The sequence below is a fragment of the Homo sapiens genome, chromosome 4 (genome assembly GCF_000001405.40).
Source record: "Homo sapiens chromosome 4, GRCh38.p14 Primary Assembly".
NCBI classification, from domain to species: domain Eukaryota; kingdom Metazoa; phylum Chordata; class Mammalia; order Primates; family Hominidae; genus Homo; species Homo sapiens.
The window spans coordinates 5,625,928-5,642,817 of NC_000004.12; the positions used below are offsets into that span (position 1 = coordinate 5,625,928).

The following is a 16,890-nucleotide window of genomic DNA, read 5'->3' on the forward strand; positions in this document are numbered from 1 at the left end:
AGTTAGGAATGTGGTCTCCAAACTCACCTGTAGCTTAACTGCTATTGTGCCTGAACATTCATCTCCATATTAGTTTGGTTTGAATCAGAAAATCTTTACCCTCCAGAAGAATTACAAGAATGGGCAGCTAAGATATTACTAAAGTACTAGCAGAGTAAGGGCAGAGAAAGCTCAGCACAAGAGAGACATCATTAGGGTGGAAGTTGGCAAGAGTTCTGGAAGAAAGTAACATTCGAGAGGACCACTCTGGTGCAGACAGAAGTTTCCAAGGTGAGATGGTAGATTAAAAATCCTGGTGTCAAGAACAGCACAAACAAAGTCAAAGAGGCAAAGGCAGGGAATACTCTGTGTGATGGTTAATTTTATGGACCAACTTGACTGGCCCAGATGAAACGTTCTTCTTGTTTTTTTTTTTTTTTTTTTTGAGATGGAGTCTGGCTCTGTTGCCCAGGCTGGAGTGCAGTGGCACCATCTTGGCTCACTGCAACCTCCGCCCCTCCAACTTTAAGCAATTCTCTGCCTCAGCCTCCGGAGTAGTTGGGATTACAGGCGCGTGCCACCACGCCAGCTAATTTTTTTTGTATTTTTAGTAGAGACGGGGTTTCACCATCTTGGCCAGGCTGGTCTTAAACTCCTGACCTCGTGATCCACCCGCCTCGGCCTTCCAAAGTGCTGGGATTACAGGCGTGAGCTACTGCGCCTGGCCGAAACATTCTTTTTGGGTGTGCCTGTGAGGGTGTTTCCAGTGGAGATCAGCATTTTAATCAGTGGACTCAGTAAAGCAGACGGCCCTCCCCAGCATGAGCGGGCATCATCCAATATGCTGAGGTCCTGAATAGAACACAGAGGCAGAGGAAAGAGGAATTTGTCCCTTTTTTTTCTGCCTTACAGCTAACAGTGGGACCTCTCATCTCATCTTTTCCTGCCCTTGGACTGGGACTTACACCATCAGCTCCCTCTGGTTCTCAGGCCTTCAGATTTGGACTGAATTATACCATTGGCTTTCCTGGGTCTCCAGCTTGCAGGCAGCAGACAATGGGATTTCTCAACCTCCATAATCACTTGAGCTAGTTCCTATTTATATAGGAAGCTATTTGTATTGCAAGCTGGAAACAGCAAACGATGCTGTCTATATGTTTACATATCCTGTTGTTTCTGTTTCCCTGGAGTACCCTGACGAGTACACTCTGCTACCAGCATTACCACTATCATTCCTAGACTGCCTGCATCCCTGGGCTGAGTCCCCAGCTTGGCCCAGGGAAGACTCTCAAGGGAGGTTCCTTGAAGGAAGGAACAGGTGAAGGAATCAGTAGTAGATACATGTTTTAGAAATATAATTATGTCTTTTAAAATAGAATTTGAAAAGAAGAGATGAAGCATCTTTCCCTGGTGACTGCTCACAACCAGCTGGTGGGCCCTTCAATTCAAGGCAAAGAACTGTTTCTTTCACTTGAGTGCAAATTAAAATCAGGAATGCGAAGTAAATTGCAGTGATAAATTCATTAGCATATTTAGGTGGGGAGTGTTTGCATAATTTGCACCTTACGGAATCCTCATTAAACAGAGCAGGAGAGGGTCAAAGTCCCAACAAGGTTACCTAGTAGCGGAACCACAGTAAAACAACAGATTGTCATAAGAAAGCCGCTTTATAGTCATGTCCCTATTCATTTCAGAGCTTTTTGTAACCTAAAAGAATAAATTTTGTTCTTTACAATTAAGTCACCTCAAAGAATAGCTGAGAAGGAATGCTGCAGAGAGGCAAAGGATGGCACTTAGAACTCTGTGACACCACCATACACTTGACCACAGGATCCCAGGTGCTGCTCAGAAAAACCATTTGGAATCCAAGACAACCATCCCTGTATTTATACTTAGTGTCAAAGGTGAATGCGAGAGCCGGCAGTGTGCTAGATCTTAAAGAGAAGTGGGCTCTTCCATCACATGGTCCATGTGAGCCTCATCACTGATTTCTCCAGAATATGTTGTTGGAATTCTGCTTGAAAATAATCTGGGGTGGAGATGTGTAGCTACATCAAAACTGGCCATGAGTGGGGCTCATTATACAGACTATTGCAACTATATGCAACAGTCTATGTCTAGACTATTGCATATGCTTTTAAAATTCTGTAACACAAAGGATTTTTACAAGATAATTCTTCTTCAGAAATAATAAGTGAGGAGCAGTCAGCACATACGCTGAATAAACAGTAGTGGGTCTCCAGTGAGGAAGGTTTGTGTCAGGCAGTTCATTTGTGCCGTGGTGTGAATGTCACCTTCAAAACTTGAAATTTAATTGCCATTGTGACAGTATTAAGAGACGGGACCTTTACGAGATGATTAGGTCATGAGGGATCCACCCTCATGAATGGATTAATGCCATTTCTGTGTTAGTTATCACGGGTTTGACTCCCTTTTTCTGTCTCACACATGCACTTCTTCCCACATGATGCCCTTCCACCATGTTATGATGAAGTAAGAAGGCCCTCACTCGATCTTGAACTTCCCAGCCTCTAGAACTATGAACCAAATATATCTCTTCTATTTATAAATTACCCAGTCTGTGGTATTCTGTCATAGCAGCAGAAAACAGACTAAGACAGTTCGCACTGTTGGGACAGTGTTGAGTGGTACCTCTCGTGCTTCTGAATGAGGTGAGTCAGCTGGGCTGCAGCGGTGCTCAGAAGGCCCTGCACACGGGTCTCTGATGACTGGAGGTTCTGGACCAGATATTCCCTGTGGCCAAATCTTTTACTTAGATGATACCTCTTACTAGCCTGGAAAAAGTCCATTAACTCTTCTACATTCTCCTGTCAATTAAAAAAAAAAACAAGAAAATATGCCTAATTAAAATTTAGAGCATAATCTTTCTAGACATTTAAAATATTATTTTTCCTTTTATAAGAAAATACACAAGAAAAGAAACATGAGAATTAACACCTTTAACCTCCCTGCCTGTAACAAAGGCTTATGAGAAAATTACATACAAATAAGAAATGAGGGCTTTGAAAAGTGCATTCTAGACCCAGATGGTAAAGAGTTATCAGAACAACTTCACTGCCCTACGGAACATAAATTTCACTAATTCAGCCATTTATCCTTCATCCATGCACGCTCCCTTTCCACCTGTGGAGTTCCTACAAGTGCTGAACACCAGGATGAGGTGCTGAAGTTCTGGGAGAAGTCAGCCATCAGCCCAACCCCAAGGAGCTCCCACCACCACAGAGGAGACAAAACCAGGATGGGCACAAAGAAAGCAAGAAGGTTTTTCCTCAGCCTACAAAATGAACAAAACGTAACCAAACACAGGAGAGTAATAACCTAGATAATGTGAGGTGTGTTCTCTGGACCTAACACTGGGCCAAGAGTGTTTCATGTCTCATCTAACTCAACCTAGGGAGACAGTACTATTATTCCCATTTCACAGATGAGGAAACTGAGTCCACATCAGACAAATGGCTGAGCAGGGATTTGAACTCAGCAGTCTAATTCCAGGACCTGTGCTCTAACATCATAATAGCCTGCTTCCAAAAATCCCACTTTAACCAGAGGCATAGTAATTAGACCAGGAACATCAGTAGAACTACTCTATGGACTGGCTTCGTTGTCCTTTTTCTATCTGTGGAAATATCACCCATACAATGGATAACCAAAAGTGTCAACGCTTTGTTCAACAGGGAACATAGGACAGCATGGACGTTCCCCTTCCCACATAAGAGCTGTAACATCTCCACATCTCAACACTTGGGAATTAGCATCATCCAGTCAGTGAAAAGCTGCATGGCCAGTCAGGTGTGGCTTCACACACACTAGCATCTCCCTAAGGGCCACTGGCACCAGAATCCGTGTAACAGGAAGGTTACAGCAATGTTCCTGCTCTCCACCTAGCGGGATCCATGCATGCTGATTGATGGGAGCCCATGTTGTAAGGAAATTCAGAATTGGTATCCTTAAATACTCTCATAGCTCTGGTCAAGAAAGCTTGTAGGGCAGTACTGTTATCACCTGTGGAGTTACTTTCTGGCATAATATCATTCACAATAGCATGCATTCTTTTTAACTTGAGTGCTCTGGCATTGAGAGTCAGCCACTGCTCATCATGAGAGTAAAATGATAACGAATCTGTGAATATCTAAGTAACGCCATGGCGTCTGAATACCAAGCTATGAATATGACAGAATTTGTGCTTTATGTATGCTCACTGAGGATTTAGTGGGAAAAACCTAGATTAAATGGAGGGGGGAGCTCGTTCTCTGTCCTGGGTGCCTTCTGGGAATGGGAGGCTTGTGACGATTACTCGGTCTCCTCCTGGGATGGCCCTGATGTCTCAGCCCTCATGCGCTCGGCCTGGTACTAGCTGCAGGTCCCCAGAGGATGGGCAGGGCCAGCCTTTGTCTTGTCAGTGGTTGGGTGAATGCTGAGGACCTGCTCACAGACGCAGGGAAGGCCGCCTGTGCCCGCACCTCCTCTGGACTTCATCTTTCGCCACTGTCTTAGCAATGGAGTAACAGAGGCTGGTCATAAGCCCTGATTCACCCTAGATGGATGTGGCTCATTCTGCTATGGGTGGAATCTGTCCTTCTAGCACAAGTAGGGAATTTCAAGGTGGGAAAATTAACCAGCAAGCCACTTTCTGGAATGATTTTCATTTATAAAGATAAAAATGAAATAGCAGTGTCCACTACATCAGAAAAAGCACTGCTCAAGAAGCACAGTGATGCACTCATGACCGTGAACACATTACTGCACTGAGGAACAAATCAACCCCTATGGACCTGACTCTGCCAGATGCTGCTCCAAGGCCTCCAGCACCATCCAAAGGTACCCTTGCTGCTTGAGAAACAGAGGTTGGCTCATAACCTGGATGAGGCAGCCTGTCTAAAGAATGACATTTGCATTTCTCAAACATCTTATTGACAGTCGGAATAGAAAATTCCATAAAATAAAATAAGAGTTTGCTCACAATTACCCTTACCATCAGCTAGAGCAAGCTATCAGCACCAGTGACAGCGCTGGAGCCAAACAACAAAGTGCATTCTTGTAAAGCAGTGATGTCACTGTGTGTGCCTGTGTGTGCATGCACTTGTGCATGTAAAATCCCTCACACAGGCCTCCTAAGAATTTCCACAGTGATGCTGACAGTTTCAGATAGACTGTTTTCACTACCGCCTAAGAAATTATTTTGTTGGACTAACAACATTCACACTCAAGCTGACATGCAAAAATACACAAATCCATCCAAGTATATCCAGGCACAGATACTAAACCCTACATATACATCAATACATGCACACATACATGCATATATGTATATTTTATTTGAGACAGGGTCTGGCTTTGTCACCCAGGCTGGAGCGCAGTGGTGCTATCATGGCTCACTGTAGCCTCAACCTCCTGGGCTCAAGCAATCCTCCCATCTTGGCCTCCTAAAGTGCTGGGAGCCACCAAGCCTGGCCTGTATTTCCTTTCCACTGCTATATACATTAAACATATGTTATGCCAAGCACTAACTTTCCACGAGTCAGCTCATCAAATTTCCATCACACCCTCGTGGGTGTGGGCATTCTATCACACTCATCTTATAAGTGACGAAACTAAGGCTCAAAGAAGTGAGGTAACTTGCTCAAGTTCACGCAGTAGACTGGGGGGGGGAACTGAAATTCCAATCCAGGTCAGCCCGAGTTCAAGGCCTGTACTCCAAGCCACCATTTTCCCTGCTTACTGGAAACTCACACACCAAGAGATAGAAGAGAAAGCTCACTAGTGCACAGTACAAAGGAGAGGCAGGACTGAACTCTGAGAGAGGAGACATTTACTGAAACAATTCAGAAAAATTACTTTTCCATCACAGCGAGGCTGATGTATTACCTGTATTTTAGAATAATTTTGCAGCAGCATTTTAGCTGCCTCTGGTTTCAATTCCCCTTTGAAAATAGCACTTTTTATCTGGGTAAAAAAGATACTGTGCAGTTCATTTCTCTGGAAAACAGCCAGCTGTCTGTGAGCTTTGGCAAAGTCTTCTTCTTGTTGCAAAGCGAGAGACTTCCTCAAGTGCTCCTGTTCCAGGCCATGGAGGGTCCGCAGAAGGTTGCTGCACTCTACAGCAGACTGGAGAGAGGAAAGGGAGAGCGTGAGAAACTGACACACTGAACATGCACCTACATGTGCATGCAATGCAATGTGTACAGGCACATGTGCACACACAATGTGTACATGAACACACAGATGCATGCACATATGCATTACAATATATACACACATGCGCATGCAGTGTGTGCATGCACATGTGTGCACAGGCACATACACAATGTGTAAGGCAATGTACACACATGCAATATGTACACGCACACATGGGCACACACAGAACTTGCACACACACAAGGCACAAGTACATGTGCGCACACAGCATATACACACACAGCAAAAACAAGGCACACACATAGACACACACACAGTCCCAAGCTGACAATAATGAGGTTACTAAGCCCTGGAATATGCTGTTCCAACCTGTCCTCCCCTGTTATCTAAATGTTTTCTAGAATAATCTCAAAGCAGAATATTTACAGGGGTGGAAATCTGCAAATCAAACTGCTAGAAAATAGCCTGCAAAAAATGGAAATCTCTTCACTATCAGTGGGTCATGCTGTCAGGCTCACAAGATTATTTCTCCTATCTTTCATTCTCAACTTCACTGAAGAGAAAAATACCAGCAATCAGGCCCAAGTGGAGATCCTTTGGGTAAAGAGAAGCAAAAGAGGTCTTTAGAAATGGCTGCTTGGATGCCTGCATAGTATGAGGTCTTGTGTGAGGAATGAAAGGAAGCTCACCTCTACTGAGCTCCTGATCCATTTGCATACGGCCTCCCCCCAATTATCTCAGTAAGGAGCTGAGATATTATCTCAGAGGGAGCTGTTCTTCACTCCACATGGGTAGGCGGGATTCTGGAATGGCCCCTGATCCCCAGGCCCCAGTATATATGCCACATAAATTCCCTCCCCTTGAGCATGGGAATGAATCTGATTAAGTCACTCCTGTGATTGGTTTACATCATATGGCAAAGCTGAGGGTGTCTTGATGATGTAATTAAGGTCACTAATCAGTTGACTTTGAATTAATCAAAAGGAAGACTCTCCTGGGTGGGCCTGACTCCTTAAAAGAAGCATTGGAGCCTTCCTAAAGAGAGAGACCCTCTCCTGCTGGCTTTGAAGAACCAAACAGCCAGGCTGTAAACTGTCTCCGCAGAAGGGAAACTTCTAGGAGCTGAGGGCCTCAGTCTTGTACCCACAAAGAAGTGAGTTCTGCAAACAGCTTGAATGAGCTTGGACCAGGACCCCAAGCTCCAGAGGAGAATGCAGCTCAGCCAAGACCCTGATTGCCAGCCTGCAACATCCTGAGCATAGGTCACAGTGAAGCTGTGCCCAGACTCCTGACCATGGACACTGAGACAATGTCACTAATGTGTGTGGTTGCTTAGGCAGGAATAGAAAACTGACACCCTCCGTTTTATAAGAGAAGAAACACAAGCTTAGAGAAGGTAAGAGCTTTCCCAAATTCTCACCCATGCTCAGCTAGGGGAGGAAGCGTGTTGAAAGCAAGTGTTCAGGCTCCAAGCTCTGAAACCACTCAAGGCAGTGACAGTGGAGCTTGTTGGTGAAGCGAAGGCAGGGAAAGGCTTACGCGTGCAGGATGCGTGGGTACAGCCATCCCAAATGGCCAATAAAGGCCTGGCCTTGGGAAGCAGGCAGGTGTGGCATCATGCCATGGCTGGGCTGAGTAGAAGCCCGAGGAAGGCAGAAGGGGCTCCGGTGCACAGGGCAAAGGCCAGAGCTCCTTCAGGCTAAACAAGGTTGGAATGCTCTATCACCCACCAGAATTCTCTGGTTTCAGTAAATAGCATCACTTGCTCCCCAATTTCCCAAGTCACAGACCTGCTCACCTCCACTTCCAATAACTCACAGAAGCTCTCAAAGGTGACATGCTGATCTCTAGCTTTCTCCGTCTCTCCAGTCCCTTTTACTTATTGTTTGATTTGTTCAGAATCTGGGCCAGAAAGACAAGCATTATTTAGAGCCTTCTAAAGAGGTCCAAGGGCCAACACATGGCATCCCCTGCCTTGCAGGTGCTCACAGCAAAGCCTAGTGGATGACAGCAGGGGCCATGAGGCTACAAGTCAAAGGCTTTTATGTGCATCCTCTTGGCAACTCTGTCAGGACCCTTGCCCATACTAATAGCTTGCCTTGCCCACCAAATAACAATTCAGTCTTTTTAAAAAGCTGATTTTATAACAAAGGATTAGATTCGACATAATGAGTCACTCTATTACAGAGAAATGGTATTCACAGCTGACTTGATCTAAATCAAAGGATGCAATTCACCAACAACCAGGAGGGTGTCAGGACCCTGAGTCTGGGCACCGCAGGGGCATTCCGCTACGAATGACTAGCTGGTGCCCAGTTATGTCGGTTCATCCATCAAAGCGACCTTCTTTTTTTGACAGTATAGAATTTGACAAGTCCCAAACTTCAATTTATTTTAATTAATAGAAATGAAATACGGGGTAATTTCCATTTAGCTTCTCACAGGCAAGATAAAAAGCAGACACACACACAAATCCTAAAATAAAATATTTGGGCCTTTTTTAGAATCATATCTCTGCCGAAGAATAAAGTATGAGGCAATGATGTATTTGTGCCATAGTGAAACACTCTCTAAAATACATGTGGACAGGACTCCCATGCCCACTTCAAAAGGGAGTTCAGAGCCTTGCAGATGTGAGTTCCACCCCTGACCTAGTTCAACCTCCTATGGCAGAGATGAGAAAACTAAGCCCTAAAGCAGGGGAGGCACACCCCTGGGCCTGCCAAACAGGGGAGGTCATGTTTCCAAATGAGTGAGGCTGCCTGGTGTGACAGGCACTAGGAACTACTGGGGAATGGGGCAAAGTGCAAAGAGCACGCCCTGCCTGTAGGGGCAGCCTCCACCCCGTCCACCAAAGGGCTCTGCAGGAATACGGACTCAACACAGCTCAGTCTTCCCATCCTTTAGCTGGAAATCTGGGTTTTCTTAAATAAAAGTTTATATTTTAAATACTGTCAACAAATGTGCTTTTTTTTTTTTTTTTTTTTTTTTTGAGACAGAGTCTCACTCTTTCGCCCAGGCTGGAGTGAAGTGCTGCTATCTTGGTTCACTGCAAACTCCGCCCTCTGGGTTCAAGTGATTCTCCTGGCTCAGCCTCCCAAGCGGCTGGGATTACAGGTGTCCACCACCATGCCCAGCTAATTTTTGTATTTTTAGTAGAGGCGGGATTTCACCATGTTGGCCAGGCTGGTCTCAAACACCTGACCTCAGGTGATCCACCTGTCTCGGCATCCCAAAGTGTTGGGATTACCACACCTGGCCACAAATGTGCATTATAAAGGAATGTGAAAGTAATGATTACTCACCCCCAACCCACTATTGAACTTCTCAATGAAAAAGACTTCAGGGAGATAAGGCACATGCATCCTATGGCTTCCAACACCTAGAAAAGCAAGTGTCCCCTGGAGGGAGTGTCCCATGGAGGGAGTAGGGGGCATAAACCTTAAGGGAGGATACAGAAGTTCCAGTGTGAGAAGCACAGGCCTGCATCAGGCTGGCTGCAGCAGCTGCTGTGCATGTTGACTCTACAGCATCACAAAGTGAAATCACGCTCGAAAGTGACGACTGTGCTGTCATACTCCCCATACTCAGAAAGACAGGCAAATTGTGAAAATGTTTTATAAAAACAAATCCATCAGAAACGGTGAAAATGTCAGAATTCTTGTGCTGAGGACAAAGACTCACACAGGGGTTAGAAAGCCTCAGGCAGCCCAGGGCAAGACATCTGCTGGGCCTCCTCTTTCAGTGGCAGAAAAGCAGCGGGGAGAGCCTGGGTATAGAAGACGAACCCCAGAGGAAGGACCCAGCTCTGAACTGGATGCAGGAAGCTGGATTGCCAGTCACTTCCCCTCCGGGCTTCGGTTTGCCCACCTTCAAGTAGAAAGAGTTCACATTCTGTGTTCTACACCACAGGCATCTTTAAAAATTACATTCAGTTATGAATCATAATAAACCCTTGTCCAAGGTTGACTCAGCGCCGAGCAATGGCTGAAGTACTATACGAGAATTAACTTACTTATACTCACAACAGCCCTCTAAGACCTCAGGCATCATGATTATCCCTGTCTTAAGGATGGGGAAAGGAGACCCAGGGTGACTGGGTAACGTGCCTACTGGAGGAAAAGAGGGAGGAAATAAACCCCAGCAACCTGCCTTCTGTGCCTATATCCCCCAATACTCTCCCCAAGGTTTCTCAATGGAGAAATGCTTTGAGAACTATAAGGCATTATATACGCATTTAAATATTATAGTATGAACAAATTTCAGCTCTACATTAATTACAGTCAGCTCTCTGTATCTGTGGGTTCTGCATCCATAAATATAACCACCTGCAGGTCAAAAATTTCTGTGTGTATTGAACACATACAGACTATTTTTTTCTTGTTGTTATTCCCTAAACAACATTCCCTAAACTATTTTTTATGCATTTATACAAACTATTTATAACTACATAACATTTACATTGTATTAGGTATTACAAGTAACAGAGGTGATTTAAAGTATACAGGAGCATTTGTGTAGGTTATGTGCAAATACGACACCATTTTATAACAGAGACTTGAGAATTTGTGGATTTTGGTATCCATGGGGGTGGGATGGTGGGGAGGGTCCTGGAACCAATGCTTCCTGGGTATCAAGGGAGGGATGACTGTACTGTACTAAACTTTACTCAGGAAAGCTGATACTGCTCCTTTTGCTTTTCTTTTTTAAAACTAATTCTTGGTGGAATAATACATCCAAAATATTTTTATGTATTTTATTTAAAGATGACTATAACACATGATGGATAATTATAAAGCAGTCTGTGGTTTTGTGAGATGGAATCACTTGCATGGACTGGAAGGAAACTAGTTCTATTAAATGCTGCAGCTCAGATACTATTTCTGGAAACAGATTGGTTCAAATAAGGCGGCTGCTTGTCTTTGAACAGAGTGACCTAGGACATCCGGAGTGATGGTGCCTGCCCAATACACGCTGGCTTGCAAGGTGGTGTGGGTGGGAGAGACAGGCTGCAGAAAAGCCCTGGAGAGAGCAGGGTCAGGAAGCCCTGAGGAGGAGAGGGACTGCGTGACAGATGGGAGTAGGGCACCGACCCAGCATCCTATCCTCATGCTCTCCGCATAAAAAAGCATTGCCCCAGGCAGTCTTTTGATAGCAAAGCCACTAGAAACATTCTAGGTGCCCCACAGGACGGGTTCACATGGGGCGCACAGCAGGGGGACGTAACCTCCACTGCAGGAGGGGGCAGTGTGCGCAGTGGTTGGGGGCATGCTGCTGGACATGAGGCTGACTGTCCTCGGGCAGGTGAACCTTCCCCAGCTCAGTTTCCTCACCTGTCAAAGTGAGATCCTCTCAGTCCCTACCTCACTGAGTTGTTGTGAACGCTAAAGAGAGTCAATGGGATGTGCTTGGAACAATGCCAGACACACCATGCATGCTAAGGAAGGATGAGCTGTTATTGTTACACATCGTATTTTTTAAGAGTATTTAATAAAATCAGCAAATGTGTATACTGTGATGTAAAGTGAAAATAAGACATATATACAACTATACAAACTGCATAATCCTTACTTTATAAAAATAAATGGATAAAGCAAAAGGCTAAAATGTATGCTGGCAACTGAGGGCAGGTGTGAAGGCTGCCTGAGCCATCCCTGTATCTCCAGGGTTAGGTATACAATAGAAACTCAACAATGGGCAGAATGAATGATCCTCTGCCACTGAGTTGTGGGATGGGCTTCTCTCTTTTTTTTTTTTTTCAGGGCTTTTTCTTTTTCAGCTTTGGTTCTGAAATCAGACAGCCTTTCTGTAAGGGGCCATATTTTAGAGTTTGTCACCTGAGGTCTCTGTTATGTATTCTTGTTTGTGTATTTGATTTTTAAAACTCTTTAAAAATGTAAAAAAACATTCTCAACTTGCAGGCCACATAAAAACAAGCTGGGTAAGATTGGGCTCATGGGTCCTTGTTTGCTGACCACTGCCTTAAGGTACTGTCGAAGCCTCCCTTATTGAGCATGTATTACGTTTAAAGGTAAAAAAAAATTGGCCATGCGTGGTGGCTCATGCCTGTAATCCCAGCACTTTGGGAGGCCAAGGTGGGCGGATCACCTGAGGTCAGGAGTTCGAGATCAGTGTGGCCAACATGGCAAAACCCTGTCTCTACTAAAAATATCAAAATTAGCCGGGCGTGGTGGCAAGCGCCTGTAATCCCAGCTACTCGGGAGGCTGAGGCAAGAGAATCACTTGAGCCCAGGAGGTGGAGGTTGCAGTGAGCCAAGACTGCACCACTGCACTGCGATCTGGGTGACAGAGTGAGACTCTATCTCAAAAAACAAAAAAAAAAAAATTGTAACAGATTTAGGAAAGAATCAAAAGAGAGATAATGGGATCATTTAGGAGCTGAATCACCGAACAGTGCATTCAATACATTCTTCCTAAGGGCTCGGCTCAAGGATGTGGGATGTTGAGCAGCACAGTCATAGACTGGGCATTACAGGGCAGTGTCGGTGAGGGAGGCTGCAGTGGACTGAATGGTGACACTCCCACCCCCCAAAAAAGATATGCCTAGATCCTAACCTCAGGACCTTATTTAGAATAAGGGTCTTTCCACATGAAATTAATTTAAGATCTTATGAGATCATCCTGGATTATTTAGGTGGGACCTAAATTCAATGACAAATGTCCTTATAAGAGACAGGAGATGAGAGGGTTACCAGGGAAAAGGCCACAGGAAGACAGAGCAAAGATTTAAGTGACGCAGTTACAACCCCAGGAACACCCGGAGCCACCAGAAGCTGAACCAAACATGGAAGGATCCTACTGACAACTAGATTTTGGACGTCTGGCCTCCAGAACTATTATATAACAGAAAAAAATTCTGTTGTTTTAAGCCACTAAATTTGTGGTGATTTATTATGGCAGCCACAGGAAACTAGGACAGGAGAACCTAAAATGAGATGGTTCTGAAGGCAAGGGAGGCCCCAGGAGCAAGGGAGCAGGTGCAGGCAGGACAGCGAGGACCTTGCCCCTTTTCTTTACTGCTCATCCCCTGTCTGACCACAGATGACCATCTGTGAGTCACGAGTTGTTAACAAGAGAGCTGCTTATTTGCTCCCAGGGGCATCCATAGATGGCCACAGTCTGCGGAAGGGAAGCCGAGTTCAGAAGCTTGTTCTTAAGTAGTTGGAAGCCCTCCCTAGGGGAGTAGATGTTCAGAAGAAGATATGCAGACTCAGGTCACATGAAATGAATAAGCCATTTCTTTCACATAGGAAAACAGAAATCAGGTTTGATTTGGTATATTCAGGAAAAACTCTAGTTCTTTCAAGGCAGCAACTGACACAACTTTTGGAAAAACAAGAGCTGATTTCTGAGCAATCTAGGCCAGCCCTGGCAAGGCTGACCTATGAGAACTCCAACTGAGCACTGTGAGCTGAGAGCCTTCTGCAGCCCATGGGCGCCAGGCAGCTGCTTTTCCTACATTGCTTCTCCCACCCACCCTGAGAGGTGGCTTGCCATTAGACTTGCAGTGCCTAATTAAGGCCTTCAGGAGCAGAGATGGAATGTACTAGACTGTGAGTTCAGGTTTTTCTGACTCTAGAGCCTGTGCTGGAGAGAACTGTAACCTAACAGGCTATATAGTCCAGAGGGGGACACGTGGACTCTGACATCACAACTTTCTGTGAACCATGCCCTCTACAGACGTGCTCTGCTATGAATGAAGCCTTTCTTCTCTACCCATGAATTCTACAGCATTGTGAACATACCTCTATTATAACATGACTGAATAATGTCTCATTTTTTACGTGAACTGATTTTTTTATAAGATTATGAACTTCTTGAATGGAAGAACCATGTCTCATTGTTCCCTATACCTTCACTGCCTAGCCCAGTGCCTGAGAGACAGTAAGTAATCAACACATTTTTGCTAAATGAATTCTGGATGGATGGATGGGTGGATGAGTGATAATGGGCAGATGGGTGGACGGGTAGATGGAGGGGAAGCATGGGTGAATGGGTAAATGGATGAGTGGATGGGTAGAAGGCTAGATGGGGAATAAGTGGATGGGTAAATTGTTGGATGGGTGATGGGTGGCATGGATGGGAGGGTGGATAAATGAGTAGGTGGATGAACAGACAGATGGATGTGTAGATGGACAGATGGGTGAATGAGTGGGTGGATGAATGGATAGGTGCACAGATGATTGGATGAGTGGGTGGATGGATGAGTGGGTGAATGGGTAGATGGGTGGATGGACAGATGATGATGGATGGACGGTGGGAATGGTTGGATGAATGAATGGAAGGATGAATAGATGAATGAGTGGGTGGTTGGATGGATGATGGGTAGACGGATGGAGGAGGCAAATGGACAGATGAGTGGGTAGATGGATAAATGACAAATCCCTGAGAGAAAGGGAAGTGAACGCCTTCCTTTCAGACCTGTCTTACCCTCTCACCAGCACGTTTCAGCAACTCTTCTGCTTCCTCCATTGCCATCATCTCTCTCTGGTACTGGTTTTCCATCTTCTTTCTTGTTTCCAGGTCACATTCAGCTGTCAATGCCACCATCTTCCGATCGTACTCCTCTTGTATTTCATTTTCCAGCAATAGAAACTGCTTTTTGAAAACAGCACTCATTTTTCTCTCTACTTGGGGTGAGAGGTGGCCACTGCTGGTGAGATTTTTCAGCAGAAGGGCAATGATATCCTTGCTGATTTGTGTTCGACAAGCCTCCAGATCTGCATCTGCCCGATTCAGGGTTGCAATCTCCAACCTAGGAAACACAAAAATCAAAAGAATTCCATTACATGAAATTGCAACAGAAACCAAAGGTCTTTCAAAGCTCTGAGGTTTTCATTTATGTGTAGGCAAGGGCTTTCTTCGTCTTCCTTTTCTTCCTTTCCCCGCTCACTTCTGCTTCATCCAGTTATTGAAGGCCATTAGCTGACTCTTACTTAGTAAATTTGTAAGGTACCATGTGATGTACAAAAAAGAATATAATCAATATAAGACATGTTTCTGTCAACAAGTAACAAGTCAGCAACAACAAGGAAACCAAGGGAAAAATGGATAGCTAATATATTTGGAGGATTTAAAAATAAAGTTTATTTTACTTTTCTTCCCATTAAAAATCAATTTATGGACATGACTAGTACATGTAATGTCATATCCTGGACGGAATCCCAGAGCAAAAAAAAGGACATTAGATTAAAAACTATGAAAATCTGAATAAAGCATGGACTTTGATAACAACTGATACATAATCACACTGTATCAACGTTGATTTGTTAATTTTAACAAATGTAACATACTAACAGAAAATGTTAATAATAGGGGAACCTGGGTTCAGGATACATGGGAATTATCTGTATTATCTTCTCAATTTTTTTGTAAATCCGAAACTGCTCTAAAAATAAAGTCTACTTGAAAATGCGAGGTAGTTCGCAGAGTCACGGTGTTCTGAAACCTGACTGGCGGTAGTTGTAAAACTGTATATACTTCCAGTAACACATCAGACTGTACCCTTAAACTGTGTGAATTTTATGATATGTTAATCATACCTCTATAAAGCGAAGGAAAGCTACATAGAAAAAAATTAATTTATGTTATGGTAAAAATACATCTGAAAACAAAGACAAATAAAAAAAGGATTCATTCACTGTGAATCCACCATTCAATCAGAACTAATGAAGGCATTTAGTTATTTTATTATTATTTTTTATTTTACCTTAAGTTCTGGGATACATGTGCTGAACGTGCAGGTTTGTTACACAGGTTTACATGTGCCATGGTGGTTGCTGCACCTATCAACCCGATATCTAGGTTTTAAGCTCCTCAGGCATTAACTATTTGTCTTAATGCTCTTCCTCCCCTTGCCTCTTACCCCCTGACAGGCCCTGGTGTGTGATGTTCCCCTCCCTGTGTCCATATGTTCTCATTGTTCAACTCCCACTTATGAGTGAGAACATGCAGTGTTTGGTTTTCTGTTCCTGTGTTAGTTTGCTAAGAGTTTCCAGCTTCATCCATGTCCCTGCAAAGCATATGAACTCATTATTTTTTATGGCTGCACAGTATTCCATAGTGTACCAATGCCACATTTTCTTTATCCAGTCTATCATCGATGGGCATTTGGGTTGGTTCCAAGTCCTTGCTATTGTAAATAGTGCTGCACGTCTTTATAGTAGAAGGTCATCATTCAATTAGAATTAATGAAGACATTTTGTCATATTTTCTTCCAGCCTTTTTTCTATGCATATTTTTTTCATAAATGTCCACTATTTACACAGATGCATGCAAGTACAATTTTATCCTCTTTTTTTCCCCAATTAACATGGTTATAGGTATCTTCCAGTGGTATTTAACAACTAAATGCTTCTTTATAAGGGTTGCAAAATATTTTATCATGTGATAGACCACCATTCAATGACTATTCTTCTATTGTTGCACATTTGGATTACTTGCAAATTACAAAATCTAAAACAATCCTGAAGTGAATCACTTTTTACAGAGCTCTAGATACTCACAATAATTTCCTCAGTACAGATTCCCATGAGAGGAACTGCTGGGTCAGATGTCAGCGACATCCTTAAGTCTCCTGGCACATCCAGACAAACTGCTTTCCAGAAGAGACCCCCAGCCATACACCAGGATCCTCACATTTAGCCCCACCCTCCACCATGTCAAACATCTTTGATAATTTGATTTGGTGTATGATTGTAAAAATACAAGGGTTTTAAGAAAACTATTATAAAA

At 44.0% G+C, this 16,890-nt stretch overlaps 1 protein-coding gene across 7 annotated transcripts in view, besides 1 other annotated feature; it reads right to left on the reverse strand.

Moving 5' to 3' along the window:
- Positions 1–16,890, reverse strand: part of EVC2 (EvC ciliary complex subunit 2) — a 180,538-nt gene that overhangs the window by 96,917 nt on the left and 66,731 nt on the right. For all 7 annotated transcript variants that reach the window (XM_047449611.1, NM_001166136.2, XM_017007736.2 and 4 more), the window contains 3 exons: positions 14,587–14,911; positions 5,866–6,105; positions 2,632–2,807 (listed from right to left, as the gene is read on the reverse strand). In XM_047449611.1, coding sequence (XP_047305567.1) covers positions 2,632–2,807; positions 5,866–6,105; positions 14,587–14,911 — 741 coding nt within the window. The remainder of the gene's footprint in view (positions 1–2,631; positions 2,808–5,865; positions 6,106–14,586; positions 14,912–16,890) is intronic.
- Positions 13,789–14,988: an enhancer, noted in NCBI's record as "BRD4-independent group 4 enhancer chr4:5641443-5642642 (GRCh37/hg19 assembly coordinates)". NCBI's record gives its function as "activates an origin of replication core promoter dependent on BRD2, P300/CBP, MED14 and CDK7 cofactors, and independent of BRD4, by STARR-seq in HCT116 cells {active_cell/tissue: HCT116}" and the evidence as "EXISTENCE:reporter gene assay evidence [ECO:0000049][PMID:35650434]".